The sequence below is a fragment of the Homo sapiens genome, chromosome 5 (genome assembly GCF_000001405.40).
Source record: "Homo sapiens chromosome 5, GRCh38.p14 Primary Assembly".
NCBI classification, from domain to species: domain Eukaryota; kingdom Metazoa; phylum Chordata; class Mammalia; order Primates; family Hominidae; genus Homo; species Homo sapiens.
In genome coordinates, this window is record NC_000005.10 from 73,572,830 (window position 1) to 73,590,108 (window position 17,279).

Below are 17,279 nucleotides of genomic sequence, written 5' to 3' on the forward strand. Positions count from 1 at the left end.
CTCTGTCACCTAGGCTGGAGTGCAGTGGTGCAATCTCGGCTCGCTGCAACCTCCGCCTCCCAGGTTCAAGTGGTTCTCCTGCCTCAGCCTCCTGAGTAGCTGGGATAACAGGCACGCGCCACAATGCCCGGCTAAGTTTTTTATTTTTAGTAGAGACGGAGTTTCACCATGTTGGTCAGGCAGGTCTTGAACTCCTGACCTCGTGATCCGCCCACCTCAGCCTCCCAAAGTGCTGGGATTACAGGCGTGAGCCACCACACCCGGCCACCCATAGCTACTTATTTTCTCCTTTGACACAATTTGTTTTAACTTGTATACTTAAACAACATTATTGAACCATTTGAATGATAATCTTTCAAATAATGTTATTCTATAAACCATCTTTTAAAATCATTATTGTACATTCATATATTTTGAAGTTTTTTTTTTTTTTTTTGAGACAGAGTCTTGTTCTGTTGCCCAGGCTGGTGTGCAGTGGCACAATCTGGGCTTACTGCAACCTCTGTCTCCCAGGTTCAAGCGATTCTCGTGACCCAGCCTCCCAAGTAGCTGGGATTACAGGTGTGCAGCACCATGCCTGGCTAATTTTTGTATTTTTAGTAGAGACGGGGTTTCGCCATATTGCCCAGACTGGTCTCGAACTTCTGGCCTCGTGTGGTCTGCCCACCACGCCCTCCCAAAGTGCTGGGATTACAGGTGTGAGCCACTGTGCCTGGCCTGAAAAGTTTTTTAAAAATTAGATAAATTAATTTTTTTTTTTTTTTTGAGATGACATCTCGCTCTGTTGCCCAGGCTGGAGTGCAGTGGTGGGATCTCAGCTCACTGCAACCTCTGCTTCCCGGGTTCAAGCGATTCTGCCTCAGCTTCCTGAGTGGCTGGGATTATAGGCGCTTGCCACCTTGCCCGGCTAATTTTTGTATTTTTAGTAGAGACAGAGTTTCGCCGTGATGGCCAGGCTGGTCTGGAACTTCTGACTTCAGGTGATCCACTCACCTTGGCCTCCCAAAGTGCTGGGATTACAGGCATGAGCCACCACGCCTGACCTAAAAGTTAGATAGCACATTTTATTTAGCCTAATATCTAATGTAAAAATAAAATATATATTACATATAAAATATAATTTCAGTATGTAATCTATGTCAAAATTATTAAGATACTAGAAATAAATTAAGCATCTAAACATGTGCACTATGATACAATAATCATATTTTAGGTTGGTACAGTGGCTTACACCTGTAATCCCAGTGCTTTGGGAGGCTGAGGTGGGAGGATCACTTGAGGCCAGGAGTTTGAGACCAGCCTAGGGAATATAGTGAGACCCCATCTCTACAAAAAATTAAAAAAATTAGCTGGCCACAGTGGTACACACCTTTAATCATAGCTACTAGGGAGGCTGAGGCAGGAGAAGCACTTAAGCCGGAGTTTGAGGTTGCAGTGAGCTGTGATAGTACCACTGTACTCTATCCTGGGTTACAGTGATACCCTGTCTCTAAAAAAAAAAAGATAATATTTTATAAAAATTACTGTCTCAGTTTTTAAATTAAAATTAGATAAAATAAAAAATTTAGTTTCTCATTTTCACTAGCCACATTTCAAGTGGTCAGTAGCCATGTGCAGCTAGAAGTATGGCACAGTTCTAGAATTTACATGATTTATTATTAATTTTTTTTTTTTTTGAGACAGGGTTTTGCTCTGTCGCCCAGGCTGGAGGGCAGTGGCATGATCTTGGCTGACTGCAACCTCCACCTCCTGGCTTCGAGCGATCCCCTCGCCTCAGCTTCCTCAGTAGCTGGGACCACCGGCACGCGCCACTGTACCTGACTCATTTTTGTATTTTTGTTGAGATGGGGTTTTGCCATGTTGCCGAGGCTGGTCTCAAACTCCTGAGTTCAACAGATCCTCCCACCTCAGCCTCCCAAAGTGCTGGATTACTGGCGTGAGCCACCGTGCCCGGCTTACATGATCTATTTTTTATTATTTTATTTCCATATTTTCATTTTTTTCTGCTCTTATGAAAAACTTTAGTTTTCAGCATGTTAATTAAAAAGTATACAGTCATCTCTTGGTAACTGAGGAGAATTGGTTGTGGATGCCCAAGTCCCTTATTTAAAATGGCATATTTGCATATAACCTACACACATCCACTGTATACTTTAAATCATGGCTTGCTTATTTGTAATACCTAATACAATGCAAATGCTATGTAAATAGTTGTTACACTGTATTTTAAAATTCTGTATTGTTTATATATTTATGGATATTTTCAATCCATGGTTGGTTGAATCTGCAGATGTGGAACCTGCCATAAGAAGGATTGACTGTACATATTTTAAAAGCTAGAAAATATTTTTAATACAAAGGAATTTTTTATGTAAATACATGGCAAGTTTACACATGTTACTGAAATCATGTTACTCGGCAATTTGGGACTTGATTCTTAGGTATGTTCCTAAAAGCTAAGTGTAAATTGGCTCTATTTGTGGTGGTTTCAACCAAGAGTGATTTTTGTTCCTCAAGGAACGTTTGACAATATCTTGAGAAAGTATTGTTTTTTATCACAACTCATGGTACTTACCATATAGGGGATAGAGGCCAGGAAGGCTGCTAAACATCCTACAATGCACAGAACAACCCCCACAAAAAAGAATTCTGTGCCCCAAAATGACAGTAATTCTGAGGTTGAGAATCCCTGATCTTTGGCTTCATGTGTACTTTCTTTCTTTCTTTTTTTTTTTTTAATTTATTTTTTTAGAGACAGGGTTTCTTCAAGTTGCCCAGGCTGGTCTTGAACTCCTGGGCTCAAACAATCTGCTGTCCTTGGCCTCCCAGAGTGCTGGGATTACAGGTGTGAGCCATCACACTTGGCTTTGTGATGTGCTTTCATTGATAATTTTTTCTTTTTTTTTTTTTAAGATGGAGTTTCACTCTTGTTGCCCAGGCTGGAGTGCAATGGCGCGGTCTCGGCTCACCGCACCTTCTGCCTCCTGGGTTCATGTGATTCTCCTGCTTCAGCTCCCAAGTAGCCGAGATTACAGGCATGTGCCACCATGCCCGGCTGATTTTGTATTTTTAGTAGAGACAGGGTTTCTCCATGTTGGTCAGGCTGCTCTTTAACTCCCGACCTCAGGTGATCTGCCCACCTCGGCCTCCAAAAGTGCTGGGATTACTACAGGTGTGAGCCACCGCACCCGGCTAATACCTTTTCTTTACTCCCAAGTTTGATCTTCAGATGACAGTGGCTCATGGTCTGTCCTTCTGTTTTTTTTTTTTCCTTTTTTTCTTTTTAAATTTTTGAAACAGAGTCTTACTCTGTGGCCCAGGCTGGAGGGCAGTGGCACGATTTCGGCTCACTGCAACCTCTGCCTCCCAGGTTGAAGCAATTCTCATGCCTCAGCCTCCTGAGTAGCTGGGATTACAGGTGTGTGTCACCACACCTGGCTAGTTTTTATTATTTTTGGTAGACATCGGGTTATGCCGTGTTGGCCAGGCTGGTCTTGAACTCCTGGCCTCAAGTGATCTGCCCACCTTGGCCTCCCGAAGTGCTGGGATTACAGACCTGAGCCACCACACCCGGCCCTTCTATTTTTTTTATAAGTGGCTAGTCAAAGTTTTTATACGGATGTTATAGTTAGGGCTGGTATACAGCTCTTTTTTTTTTTTTTTAGACAGAGCTTTGCTCTTGTCGCCCAGGCTGGAGTGCAGTGGCACAATCTTGGCTCACTGCAGCCTCCACCTCCCAGGTTCAAGCAATTCTCCTGCCTCAGCTTCCCAAGTAGCTGGGATTACAGGCATGTGCCACCACGCCCAGCTATTTTGTATTTTTAGTAGAGATGGAGTTTCACCATGTTGGTCAGGCTGGTCTCGAACTCCTGACCTCAGGTGATTCACCCACCTTGGCCTCCCAAAGTGCTTGAATTACAGGTGTGAGCCACCGTGTCCGGCCTACAGCTCATTTTTTAAGGGATTCAGTGATGAATTAGTTTGTAATTAACATTACTAATCTTTGTTTTTCTTCACTGTTGTACAGATTTTAATGTTTGTATTTTGTTTTCAGAAAATAGAAATTTGCATTTTATACTCGTTTTCAAGGTGATTTTTGACAAAGCTTTTCCTTTTTATTAGGAAGGTGAAAGTATACAGCACAACTTCCTACAAAGTAGTCCACAGTTTTGATTATGCAGCTTCAATTTTGAGTCTTGCCCTTGCAGTAAGTACCTTTACCTATTTTTAAGTCTGTCACTAACCCTGCCTGTTAAATGAAACTAAAATGGAACTTTGGGCTTTATTTTTAGATTTGAGTAACTTTTCTTGCCACATCAGATATTTGAGTTAAGACAATTGCTGGAATATGTAACTCGTCCTATTGACTCAGCATGAATTCAGATTTAGGTCCCACTCACTGTAGAACTTCAAACTAAATACAGTGCTCTAGGCATTGTTAACATTAAACGCAGGACCTGGGAAGCTGGTAAATCTCTCTTCAACTCATTTAACTCAAGAGTATTATAGTACACTAGAAAGGCAGATTAGCTCTCTGAGCAGAAAAAAAGATGTGGGGAGAAGGGGACAACAAAATGAAATATCTCCTTTTCTTTGTTACTGCTCTTTCTGAAATGTATACTGTCAAGTTTTATGAGAAGCCACATTTGGGCAGGAAGGCATTTGACTATATTATATAGAAATCTGATTTGGGAGAGGAAAAGCTTATTAAAAATATTTTTGGGGGGCAAGATCATAAAAGTCTTGCTACTGTGTAATCTTTGATGCCGTTAACTATGTATTATACAAACTTTGCCAGTGATATTTTACAAGTATAAGTTCTGTCAATGTAGTTGTATCCTAAGGAAAAAATGATTTCGCTTTAACGTCTTGCACCAATCATCGTTAGGCAGACTATGTGTATTTGAATGGAACTGTTGGTGAATGTATGGACAAGCAGCAAACACATGGTAAATGTGTTTTGAAGTAAAAGTACTATAAATTACGAGTTAAGAATAGACTAACTTATTTTTCTAATTGTTATTAGCATGAAGATGAGACAATAGTTGTAGGAATGACCAATGGAATACTGAGTGTTAAACATCGGAAATCTGAAGCAAAGAAGGAATCACTTCCCAGAAGAAGAAGGCCTGCATATCGAACCTTTATTAAAGGAAAAAATTACATGAAGCAACGGGTATTTGTGCATTTCTCATATTTGTTTAAAGGGTGAAATTTGTTAGAGTAGCCAGCTTCATCCCTGCACATTACTGGAAAGCGTAGTTCACATGGCACTTTATTTTGCTTTTCTCTACATCAGAATTATTTCTAGATTGCTAGATTGGGGACATTATTGATGAGTAATGGGGAACAAGGACTACTTTATGTAATACTCTGCATCATAACATAATGTTATAATGCTTTACTGCATTCAAAATAATGTCTTTCACATACTACCTGATTTGATCTAAATCCCAAGAAGTAGTAGAACCAATCATGTCCCTGTTTGGCACCTGAGAAGACTGAGCGACAAATAATTTGTGATTGATTCAGGATTTCATTACTGGTATCCAGAGTTGTTGAGACTAGATCTCATTATCTCTGATTGTTGTTTGATTTCTCTTTCTACTGTACCACACTGCCTGCCACATAAAGAGAATTGAAATGAGTAATTTTTACCTAGAATTAAGGCAATGGTGCATGTTGTAAGTTAAAATTATAAGAGAGTAAGAACATGTTGATGTAGCAAGTTACTCCTTTTTTTTTTTCTTTTTTTGACTCTGATTAGCAGGATGCATTTTTATTTAATCTACATTATGGGCATATGAACATTATTTGTGACATAGTTCAGAGATACCACTTCATTATGAAAAAGTTTATATTAAATGTATATTTACACAGATGCTGATTTTCCTTCTCTATAAATGTACTTTTCATTGCAGGATGACATTTTGATTAACAGGCCAGCAAAGAAGCACCTAGAATTGTATGACAGGGATCTGAAACATTTTCGGATCTCTAAGGCACTCGATAGAGTTCTTGATGTGAGTGAGCATTTTTTAAAAAATCATGTTATTACTTACCCTGCATATTACCATGACTTGGAACTGTGAAGATAAATATTATTCAAACTTGATAATTTAGTGCAAGACAGTGATTTTTTTTGTGCTGTTTTGTCTACTCATGTTGACTTTGAAAATTTTTCTAGCCCACTTGTACAATAAAGACACCCGAGATTACGGTGTCCATCATAAAGGAGTTAAATCGAAGAGGAGTCCTTGCAAATGCGCTTGCAGGTCGGGATGAGAAGGAAATCAGTCATGTTCTTAATTTTTTGATAAGGTATGTTTTTTGTCTGTGAAACACTTACATTTTGCATCTGAAATCCTTTATCACCAAATAAAAGACATTTAGTTTGATCTTTGTAGAGAACTGATGAAACAAATCTGTTTTAAGGATTTTTTTTTTAAGTTTACAAGTTTCACTAAACTGAATTTTTACTTTGTAGGAATCTTTCTCAGCCAAGATTTGCCCCTGTTTTAATCAATGCTGCTGAAATAATTATTGGTAAGTCATTGTTAAAACTTGAAAATCCTAACATGCTTGCAAAAGTAGAGATGTCAAATAATCAAATTTGGAAATCAAGTAGATCAAAATATCTTGCTTTTATCAAATCTCAATATGGATTTTCATGGAGAAAACAACAAGTCAGTGCAGTTTAAAAAGTAGTAAAATGTTTATAGTGGTGTGACTTTGAATTGATGGGACTAGGGTTATTATAAAAAATTTTTTTCATAGACATCTATAATGACGATGACAATTTTTCAAATGGGAAAATGAAAATAAGTCAGGAACTCCACCCTATACTTTCTGTAATTATTATTTTTTGAAATTAATTTACTCAGAGGGATTGTTATACTTTCTATAAATCATTAATTAATTATAAAATAAGTACAGATTTTTCAGTGTTCTTATGTTTAATATTTTTATACTTTTAAAAACTTTTGCTTTTCACTTAATGTATGGAAAGATATTGCTAGTTAATGTGTTTTCTTTCTCTCTTTTTAGATATATATCTGCCTGTAATTGGTCAGTCCCCTGTAGTTGATAAAAAGTTTTTACTACTTCAAGGACTTGTAGAAAAAGAGATTGATTACCAAAGAGAATTGTTAGAAACCTTGGGGATGATGGATATGCTTTTTGCCACCATGAGAAGGAAGGAAGGCACTTCTGTGTTGGAACACACATCTGATGGATTTCCAGAGAATAAGAAGATAGAATCATAGTGTCTGCTAAATAAGACATATAAGAACTCTGAAGTTGGAATAGATTTGACTGTATTAAATGTTGGCGAGAGACTCTCTTTGATACATTAAAAAAACTGTTTGCAGAAGCAGTTCTGTGGAAGAGACTGGAATAATTATGGCCGGAAAACAAGTACCCGTTTTAAGTAAGACATGGTTTTCCATGTAATATTTTGAATTATAGCATCTTCACCTAGAAGATCTCAATTGTCTTAGTCACAGAGTAGGTTTATCTGGGATGGATATTAATTTTAATACAGGAGTGTTCTGTATCAACATTTGGGTTGGTATTCAGATGGGAATTCAAATATGAATCCTCTCTGGAGAGGGTCCAACTGGGAATCCTGCTAAAGGAGCAAAGCCTTGTATTACCTCTGGAAGACAACAAAAACAATTGGCAACAACAAAAAGCCTCTTTCTTGACTTTAATCAGTGCCTTTGGGATTTCTAGGCCCTTGCTTAGCTTGCTTCCTGTCTCCTTGATATCTACACTTGTCTTAGATCACATGCCCTGCTTCAGCTGGTAATGGGACTGCATCGGTTCCAAGTGTGGCAAGTAAGTTTTCGGCTCTGAAGAACTGACACTAGCTAGATTTGTATTCAGAGTGTGAGAGCAAGCTCTACAGATAGACCTTATTGGACTACTTTTTTTTTTTTCTTCATGCAGCCTTTCTACCAAGTTTTCACCTTGTTTCAGGTCAGAGGAATGATAGAATTTGTCATTTTTCTTACAACAGCCTTTCAGACTATTCTTCATATGTTTCAAGCTAATCTTGTAGCTAAGCTACCTAATCCTCTGAAAACTGTTTTCTCTGATTTGTATTTAGATTCCTCCCCCCATTATTCACAATCATATTGTATTTCGGAACCCCAATGCAGAGCAGTTTGCTTTGAAAAATAGTTGTTTTTAAAAGTTTAATGTAAATAATTATTTTTTAGAAGTTTTTTTTTTTTTTTTAAAGACAGGGTCTCGCTTTATCGCCCAGGCTGGAGTACAGTGATGCAATCTCAGTCCACTGCAACCTCTGCCCTCCCGGGTTTAAGCAGTTCTCCTGCCTCAGCCTCCTGAGTAGCTGGGATTACAGGTGTGCCCCACCACGCCTGGCTAATTTTTGTAGTTTTAGTAGAGACGGGGTTTCACCTTACCGGGCTGGTCTAAAACTCCTGACCTCAAGTGATCTACCTGCCTCTGCCTCCCGAAGTGCTTGGATTACAGGTGTGAGCCACTGTGTCCAGCCTGTAACTATTATTTTTTTATAAAGAGAGATTCTTATTTTCTTGGCTTTTTGATGTATCTGTTCCTGATAGATAATCATTGGCTAGTAACTCCTAGTACACTGGTTTCACAGTTGCTACCTCTCCTGCTTTTCTCTAATTATTACGCCAACTCAAGTAGTTAAAAATCAGTAAGAAAAATGTCTTGAGCTAGAAGAACCCATAGAGGAAGATTTTGTAATGCGAATCTCCTCTCATAATTTTAGTTCTGTAAATTCAGGGTTTTTTTTTGTTTTTTTGTTTTTTTTAAGCCGAAAAAATGCTTAATATGTTCCAGTAAGGGTATTAAGTAAAAATTAAATAAACGTATTAAGTTTAACATATTAAATTAATTTAACATTTAGACTAACATTAACATTTAAATTAATATGTTAAGTGAATATACTTAATATATTCTAGTACAGGTATGCTTGGAAATAGGGCGTTTCCTTTTCATGAATTGATTTCGTACAGCACAGTGGCTTATAAGGAACCAGCAGTGTTTTTCCCTGAGTAATTATGAACTTAGTCAAGATCAGAAGCTGGGTTTTGGGGTTGAGAAGAGTTCATTTATTTAAATAAAGTTTCTATTTAAAAACCTTTTTAAAAAGTTAACATCATAAATATTCTGATAATTTGCATAGTAGTAAAAATTAGAAGTTGAAATTCTACCTAAAGCTGTAGTTGCCGTCAATTGTGTAACATGTGACAAAGGTTTTCCCATATGTCATTTCATTTGATTCTCACCACAACCATCCAAGGTTGATGTTATTCTCATTTAACATTGAGTTAACGAAAGTAGTTGATTCACTCTCGAAGTCCCTGAGTGTGAGCTCTTCATCCTAGCACTGTGAAGTGGTTTGCCTGCTGGGGCCTAAACTCCTCATTCCCTTTAACAAAGCTTCACTGAGTGCTGCAGTTCTCAAAATATGTAACAGTTAACACATTTTTCAAACAGGTTAGGAAGCAATTCCCATAGCCATCAATACTTAAATTCAGGAGTACTTTTTTGTTTGTTTGTTTTGTTTTGTTTTTAGAGACAAGGTCTCTTTCTGTTGTCCAGGCTGGAGTGTAGTGGTGTGATCATAGCTCACTGCAGCTTCTGTCTCCTAGGCTGAAGCTATCCTCCCACCTCAGCCTCCTGAGAAGCTGGGGCTACAGGGATGAGCCACCATGCCCAGCTAATTTTTTATTTTGATTTTTTGAGATAAGAGGTCTCACCATGTTGCCCAGGCCTGAGGCAATCTCCTGGTTTCAAGCAATCTTCCCACCTCAGCCTCCTTAATGACTGGGATTAAAGGCATGAGCCACTGCGCCCAGCAGGAATGGTTATTATATTCATTGAGATAAACTGTAGTATTTGCTGTTTGAAGTATTTAAACATAATTGGCATATTACAATATGTGACACTGGCCTTAAGATTCTAATTTAAAATGCTTAACAGACTTTTAGACTTATGAGTTTCAGTTGAAAGGTATTTTAAAATGTTACTAAGTCTGCAAAAGTACTGAAATGTTTCAGAGAACTTGGAAAGTCACCGTATGTTTAATTTATTATGTTTATGAGATTTAAGCACTTGGGAAGGTTTATGCTAATGGGGTCAAGCATTTGCAATGCTGCTTAAAAGAATCATTTTTTTAAATGTATAAATGCTATTAAGTTGTTTAAAGGAATTTGAATTGTAAATGGGATTGTTAAAACAAATTTAGTCTGTTCAACTCAATGAGGGCATTTCATTTTCTAGGAACAAAATACCCTCTTAGACATTAAAAAGCCGCATGCCTGTTCCCTCAGCTATAGTTAACTGGACCATGGTGGTACAACTGACTCAACCCTTCTCTAAGCAGGGATTTGTAATTGGGATTTATAATGAAATTCCTGATCTGGGAAAATGGGAGGCTGGGAATGCTATGTCTAGGTCATCAGCGGAGAAAGTTGGTTTGTAGAGAATGAACAAGAATGAAACCTAAGTGCAAAGAAAATAAAGATTATCCTGCTTTAATAGTTCAGACTAGAGGAGAGAGAAACCATCTTAGTTCCTGATGACTTCCTATTGCCCTATTCTGGTTGTACCTCTTCCCCCAGGGGTCCATGATATTTTTGGATTCCCTCTAACACTTGTTTGCTTAGTTGACTGTGAGTGGTTTTCTCTTATTTACAACCAAATGACTCTGAAAACACTAATCCACTGGTCCTGATATTTATTGAGACACATTAGAGGCCAGGGTATCAAGGTTATAGCAATGAACAAAATAGACAAAATATCTCCCTCAATATTCTGATTAGGGGAGATACTCAGTGAACAAGTACATATGTAGTGGGGTCACGTGGTGCTAAATGAGATGGAGACCAATCAGGCAGGGGAGGGAGATGGCAAATGTCAGGGGTGATTGGTGGGTTGGAGTTTTAAATAGAGTAGTTAGGGAAGGCCTCACTGGGATGGCAATTGAGCAAAGTTCTTTAGGAAGTGAAGGATCCTCATTGCTATCTAGGGGCAGAGTGGAGAAGTGTGCCTGGGGAGTTAGGAATGGCAAGGTGGCCCATTTAGCTGGCATGGAGCAAGGGAGGGGAGAGTAGTAAGATACAGAATGGTGTAGAAACTGGCGATGGTGCATTTTGACAGCTCTTTAGGGAGTTTTAACGTAAAAGGGAATACAAAATTGGGCAATGACTGGAGGTATGTGGGGTCAAGAGTTTTTTTTAATTAGGTATAATTGATATGCTATAAACTACACATATTTAAGGTGTTCATTTGATATGTTTTGACATTTATACACCCTTGAAACCACAATCAAGTTAATGAACATGTTTAATACCCTCAAAAGTTTCCTCCTGCCCTTGGTAATCCATCCCTTGGCCCCTTCGCCTCAGGCAACTACTGAACTACTTCCTGTCACCATAGATTAGTGTTCATTTTCTAGAATTTTATAAAATGGAATTAGAATTTAGGATTTGGGGGGTCTGGCTTCTTTCACTTAGCATAATTGTTTTGAGATTTATAATTAATTTGAGATTTAAGTTGGCAACAATGACAGAATGAATGTGTGTCAGTGGGGATAATCCTGTAGAGAAGGAAAAACATGATATAGGATCCAGGGGAGGTGGCACTGCTGGAGCAGTGGCAAGGGTCAAGTGCCCAAGTGGAAGGGTTGGTTTAGATAGGAGAAGATAGGAGAATAATAATTTGGGCATAGTTCAGGAGGGAAGGCATATACGGGCACAGAGGCAATTAGGTGGGTAGAGGTGATAGTGAGGGTTTGTGGAAGTTAATTTGGTGTCTCTTCATTGGAAAAAACCCAAGAAGGTAACCAACTGAAATGAGGTTAGAGGAAGAGCAGGTGGAGGTGTTGGAAGTTTGATGAGATAACAAGATATGAATTAATCCTAATAAGGTCAAGAACTCAAACTTTGGAGCCATCTGCATAGATTTGAATCTTGGCTTGACCACTCACTGGCTACACGATCTGGGGGACGTTATTTTGACATTTTGTATCTCATTTTCTTCATCTGTTAATCAGACAAACAGAATCACATAGGATAGTTGTGAGAATTGTGCTAATACCCATAAATGTACCTAGAATATTTCTTCTAAAAAGTTGTTTTTAAAGAACAGTGTTGAGAAGGGAGAGTAGAACAAGGAATTCTATCTGTAACTGACTGAACAATCAATTGAGACAACACTACCTTCAATCCAGCCCCTAGAATATTTCTATTGTCAGCTAGTATGATGGGGGGAATGAATGGACTGGAAAATGAAGGAGGGTCCCTGGCAGCACTAGAGGCCCACATGACTAAGGAACTGAATGAGTGTTCTGGATTTACACTGAGACCCATCAGCATGGTGGCATGTTTTTCCCTTTACATTCACCTATTAGGAGGCAGATGTGGAACAGACTGAGATACGGATTTAACAAGCAGTGGGGTTTTTGTAGGTGAATGCAACATAACTGGGCAGGGACAAAGGTAGTGTTAAGATTGATGCAAAGGAGTGATTGTAATGATAGAGCGTGGAAGCTAAGCTGGGTAAGTATGGAAAGGAGGCCACATGGGATTGAGGACAGTGAGAACACCTGGATCAATGGATTGTTGGTCTGTGTGTGGTTGAAGAGTTGCGGTTTGCCTACTAGAGATAGCGAGCCAGAGGTATGAAAGATGTTGAGAGAACTAAGCATTATGACAACAGCAGTATTTGAAAGAGTGACAGCAAGCCAGGAGCTAAAAAGTTGAAAACATGATAGGTCTCATGATGTGTGGTGACCAACAAGGTGGGAGGTATTAGGGATATAGTCAGATGACATGAGATTCAGTGGTGAGGCATTCTTGGGAAGGAAGGTGGGAGAATGGTCTGGAAACAGCATTGAGGATTACCTATACAACTGTTAGGAGTTGTACAGGAGATATGAGAACACCATCAGCAGCACTGGAGAGGGCTGCAGAAGAAACAGTGTCCTCAGCAGAGAGCCAAGGCTCAGATCAAAGGCGTGGAGAGAATGTCAACACGAGGTTGAGAGTCTGAGGGTTGTTGCTGATGACTGTGAGACCCAGAGGGCAGAGGCAAAGGGTTTTATGAGCTAGAGAAGGATAGAAATGGGACCACAAGAGAGGATGTATGGAGTCTAGGAGATAAGGCATGATCTAGGGTTCCTGGCTTCTTGTGGCAATAACTGGCATAAAGAGGGTTAGAGGGCATGATGACAGCCCTGATCATCTTCAGGTAGATGCTGGGTGTGAGGGAGGGAGAGAAGTGAGCTCTCCCCAGGAGCTTGTAGAATTCTGGGCACCATTCTTCACACCTGCCACACAGGTGCTGTGGCGGGTGATAGAGGGGCAATCACTTCTACAGAAACAGGAAAACAGATTAAGTTCACTCCAGATACCCAGTTTGTAAGTGAAAAACAAACAACAACAACAACAAAACAGGATTTGGATTCACGTAGTCTGTTTTTACAACCTGCACCATTTATCATTGCTTGAGACAGCCTCATCCTCATTCTGCTCTCTCTCTTCCTCCCATATTCAAGCAGTTTTCAACATAACCCTCAGCTGCCACATCCTAGATGTCCTTTTGTTTTTCCATTCCCATCGCCATCTCTTTGTGGCCCCAATTCCTTTGGACTTCTGCAGCACCCTGCCTTACAGCTCCTCCAGCTTAGCAGTCCTCCAGTCCATCCTCCGTATCATGGCTAGAGTGGTCTTCAGAAACATTTGATCTCATCACTCCCTGGAGACAGTCTATCACAGTGTCAGGGGGAATTAAAAGGACATGGTGGCAACTGAATGGAAGTGATAATGTAGGAGGTGAAACGACCAAACCCTCCTTCCATCCTTCGCTTTAGCTCAGGCAGCTTCCACGTAGAAGGGTCTTTGGCTTGAAATACTTATGATGTTATCCTCGGTTGGAAATTTGGTTTTTTTGGAGATCTTGATTCTGATTCAGAGCCTGTCGCCACTTATTTTTTCAGTCGATGTTTATTCCTCAACTGTTTTTGCATCTGTTTACACAGTTCAAACATCCAGCCACTCTCCACTCTGACCTGAGAACATAGAGGCAGGGATTCCTGCTGGGTCATTGTGCTTTTGGTACAGAGTTAAAGTCTTGAGCAATTTCTCCTAATGGTTTTCTGTTGTTTTTGCTTTTGTTGTTGTTGTTTTTGAGACAGGGTCTTGCTCTATTGCCCAGGCTGGAATGCAGTGGTGCGATCATGGCTCATTGCAGTCTCAACCTCCCAGGCTTAAGCGATTCTCCCACCTCAGCCTTCCGAGTAGCTAAGACTACAGGCCCACGCCACCACTCCCAGCTAATTTTTTTTTTTTTTTTGGTAGAGACGAGGTCTCACTTTATTGCCCAGGCTGGTCTCCACTCCTGAGCTCAACTGACCCTCCCACCTTGGCCTTCCAAAGTGCTGGGATTACAGGCATGAGTCACCGTACCTGGCCCTACTAAGGGTTTTCTAGTGATCTTAAAATTAATTAAAATTAAGAATTCAGTTCCTTAGTCACTTTGCCACACTTTGAGATGGCTGAAAATAGCCACATGTGGCTTGTGGCTACCATATTGGACAACACAGATACAGAACATTTCCGTAATTGGAGAAGTTTCTACCAGACAGCCTTGGACCTTTGGAGAAGTGCAAACTCTTTCTTTCTGGAGACTTGAGTCCACTTCATTGATCTGGTCTGAAGTACTCATCTGGCAGCTACTTTATCTGCCAACGCAGCCACTGGCTTGGTCCTTCCTGGCTCTGGCCCATCTGTTTCTAACTTAGTTCCCTGGCCCTGACTGCCCCAGATCTGCCCCTGAGTTTTCTTCCTCTCACTGATTCTTGCTCATAAACTCTTCCCATGGCTTGATTCTTCCAGCCCTGTTGCTTGGCACCAGCTCCCCAGGCATTTTCTCTAGCAGCTCAGGGTCTGAGGAGAGGTCTTTTAGGACTGCCATCCATGTGCTACCTCCCCTGACCAGGCTGGAGGAGAGGGACCTCACCTCAGTAGTCTTGGGTGATGCTGAGGCAGCAACGTACTTCGTACACACACATTGGCATTCTTCTGTTTATTCATTTAACAGATGTTTCTAGGCCATAAGCTGTGTGCCCTGAGGTCCTTGGGCTGTGATAACATTGGGGAATGAAGCAGCCCTCTGATGTCTTGAGACTTCTCATGTTGAGGATAGCCACCACCATGCCCTGGAAGCTCTCACCACTCTAACTAGAAATGCTTAACTCACATCCTCTCTAAATAGAGTACAGGCAGCTGCACACTGAAACTGAGATTGAAGAGGATACAGTGAAACAGCAGGGTGAGTTCTAGGCAAACTGTGGCCATTGCAGACTTTCTGTTTTCCTCAGCCTCCTTGCTGACACCCTACCACCCTCAATGGCTGCCCTCCTCTTTTTTGGAGGAATACCTAATGCTTGCAGAATCGTCAGGCCTCTCTCCCTTCTTCTTCCTTCTCTAATCAAAAGAGGGAATCCCCTGAATTATTTCCATTATAATGTGTCTATGTTTTAGTCAATGCACTGAAATGTAAGCACTGTGACTAACGGTGGACTTTGTTTTTGAACATGAACCAGGTAAGAGAGAGTTGGGAGGTGGGGAAGAGAGTTTCTGCTTTTGAAACTCAGTAATGTTTATTAAAAAGCCCAGCCCTCAACATATACTTGCTTTTGATAATTTTCTTTACCTTGGCAGGGAGAGAGAAAGGGAGGGAGATTGAGTTGAAAAGCTTGAGACTTTCCCTGAGAGAGATCTTAGATTTTGGGGAGGTCGAGTAGGGAGGGAGCAGCACAGTTGGGACTATGGAAAGACCATTCCCAGTGGCTTCCAGGGATAGAGAGAAGCAAATGCCAGCATAGTGAGATCTTCCTTGCTCTCGTTTGTCTTGCCAAGCTCCAACCTACATTTTTATTTTGGTCTTACATCCCAATAATCCCCAACAAGATGCATGTACTTTGGCCAAAATGGATTGTTCCTTTAAAACTTACTAGTTTCTCATTTTAGTTAACAATATAGTTTTAAATAAACAACATATGGACCGGGCATAAAATTCTAAAGTGCAAAGTAGACAGTGATAAGTCTTTCTCTCATCCTTTCCCCTAGTCACCCAGTTATCCTATCTGGAGGCATTTATAAACATACACTTTTAGATATATATCTGAATAGGTATAGATATATCTCTATATAGATTTTCCCCAATGTAATTGAAGCATAATATATATAATGCTGTTCACGTTGCTCTGTTTTTTTTGTTTGGAAAAAGTAATAACATACTGTAGCTATAGTTCCCTATCAGTACGCATAGAACTGCCTCAAAAAATACACACATAGAAAAATTTTCTGACAGTACAAAGCAGTATATATAATAGAGTAAAAAAAAATCTCCATTCCTTCTGGATCTCAGCCCACTTTCTTCTAAGGTAATGTCTTATATTATGGTTCTTCAGGGAAACAGAATGAATAGGAGATTATATATATATATATAGTCAGATTATATATTATATATTTTATATATATATATTATATATATATATATTAGCCGGGAAGTTCCATGATTTGCCACCTGCAAGGTGGAGAACCAGGAAAGGTGGTGGTATAATTCAGTTCAAGTCTGAAGGCCCGAGAACCAGCAGCTTTGGCATCCAAGGATAGAAGAAGATAGATGTCCTGGCTGAAGAAGAGAGAGTGAATTTGTCCTTCCTCCACATTGTTCTATCCAGGTCCTAACAGACTGGATGTTACACTCCCACATTGGTGAGAGATCTTTACTCAGGGATCTTTACTCAGTTCCCTGATTTAAATGCTAATCTATTCCAGAAATATCCTCACAGACACACCCAGTAAATGCTTTACTGGCTATCTGGGCATCCGTTAGCCCAGTCGAGTTGACACATGATACTAACCATGACAAGGCTCTTACCAGTTTCTTAAACGGCTGTAATAATCAAAGTTCAGTTGTCCTAGAAATAGAAATCTTCTAGGAAGCTAAAGTAGACGGGACTTAATACAGGAAGTAGGTCCTTATGAAATCACTGGAAGGGCTAGAAGAATAGGGATAGGAGGGAGGGAGTGCTCCAGATGGAGCCACTGTTCAAGAGCATGGCTCCAGAGAGCAAAAAGCTACTGCTCCTGCCATCATGAAGCCAGAGGATATACCCTGGCAAGCTGGGTCACTTCATCACAATTGCATCTCATTCCCCATCTCCTTTCCTTGCTTGCTGACAGTAACAAGCAGGAAGCTGGCCTTCC

General features: G+C 40.1%; 1 protein-coding gene across 4 annotated transcripts in view; it reads left to right on the top strand.

The window, feature by feature from the left end:
- UTP15 (UTP15 small subunit processome component) overlaps positions 1-10,551 on the top strand; it is a 17,640-nt gene extending 7,089 nt beyond the window's left edge. For 2 of the 4 annotated variants that reach the window (NM_001284430.1, NM_001284431.1), the window contains 6 exons: positions 4,123-4,207; positions 5,027-5,176; positions 5,922-6,023; positions 6,188-6,321; positions 6,488-6,546; positions 7,048-10,548. In NM_001284430.1, coding sequence (NP_001271359.1) covers positions 4,123-4,207; positions 5,027-5,176; positions 5,922-6,023; positions 6,188-6,321; positions 6,488-6,546; positions 7,048-7,265 — 748 coding nt within the window. In that variant the 3' untranslated portion in view covers positions 7,266-10,548. Of the gene's footprint in view, positions 1-4,122; positions 4,208-5,026; positions 5,177-5,921; positions 6,024-6,187; positions 6,322-6,487; positions 6,547-7,047 lie in introns of all 4 variants that reach the window. The other 2 variants (XM_011543680.3, NM_032175.4) reach the window with 1 other exon arrangement.
- Positions 10,552-17,279: the final 6,728 nt, after the last annotated feature.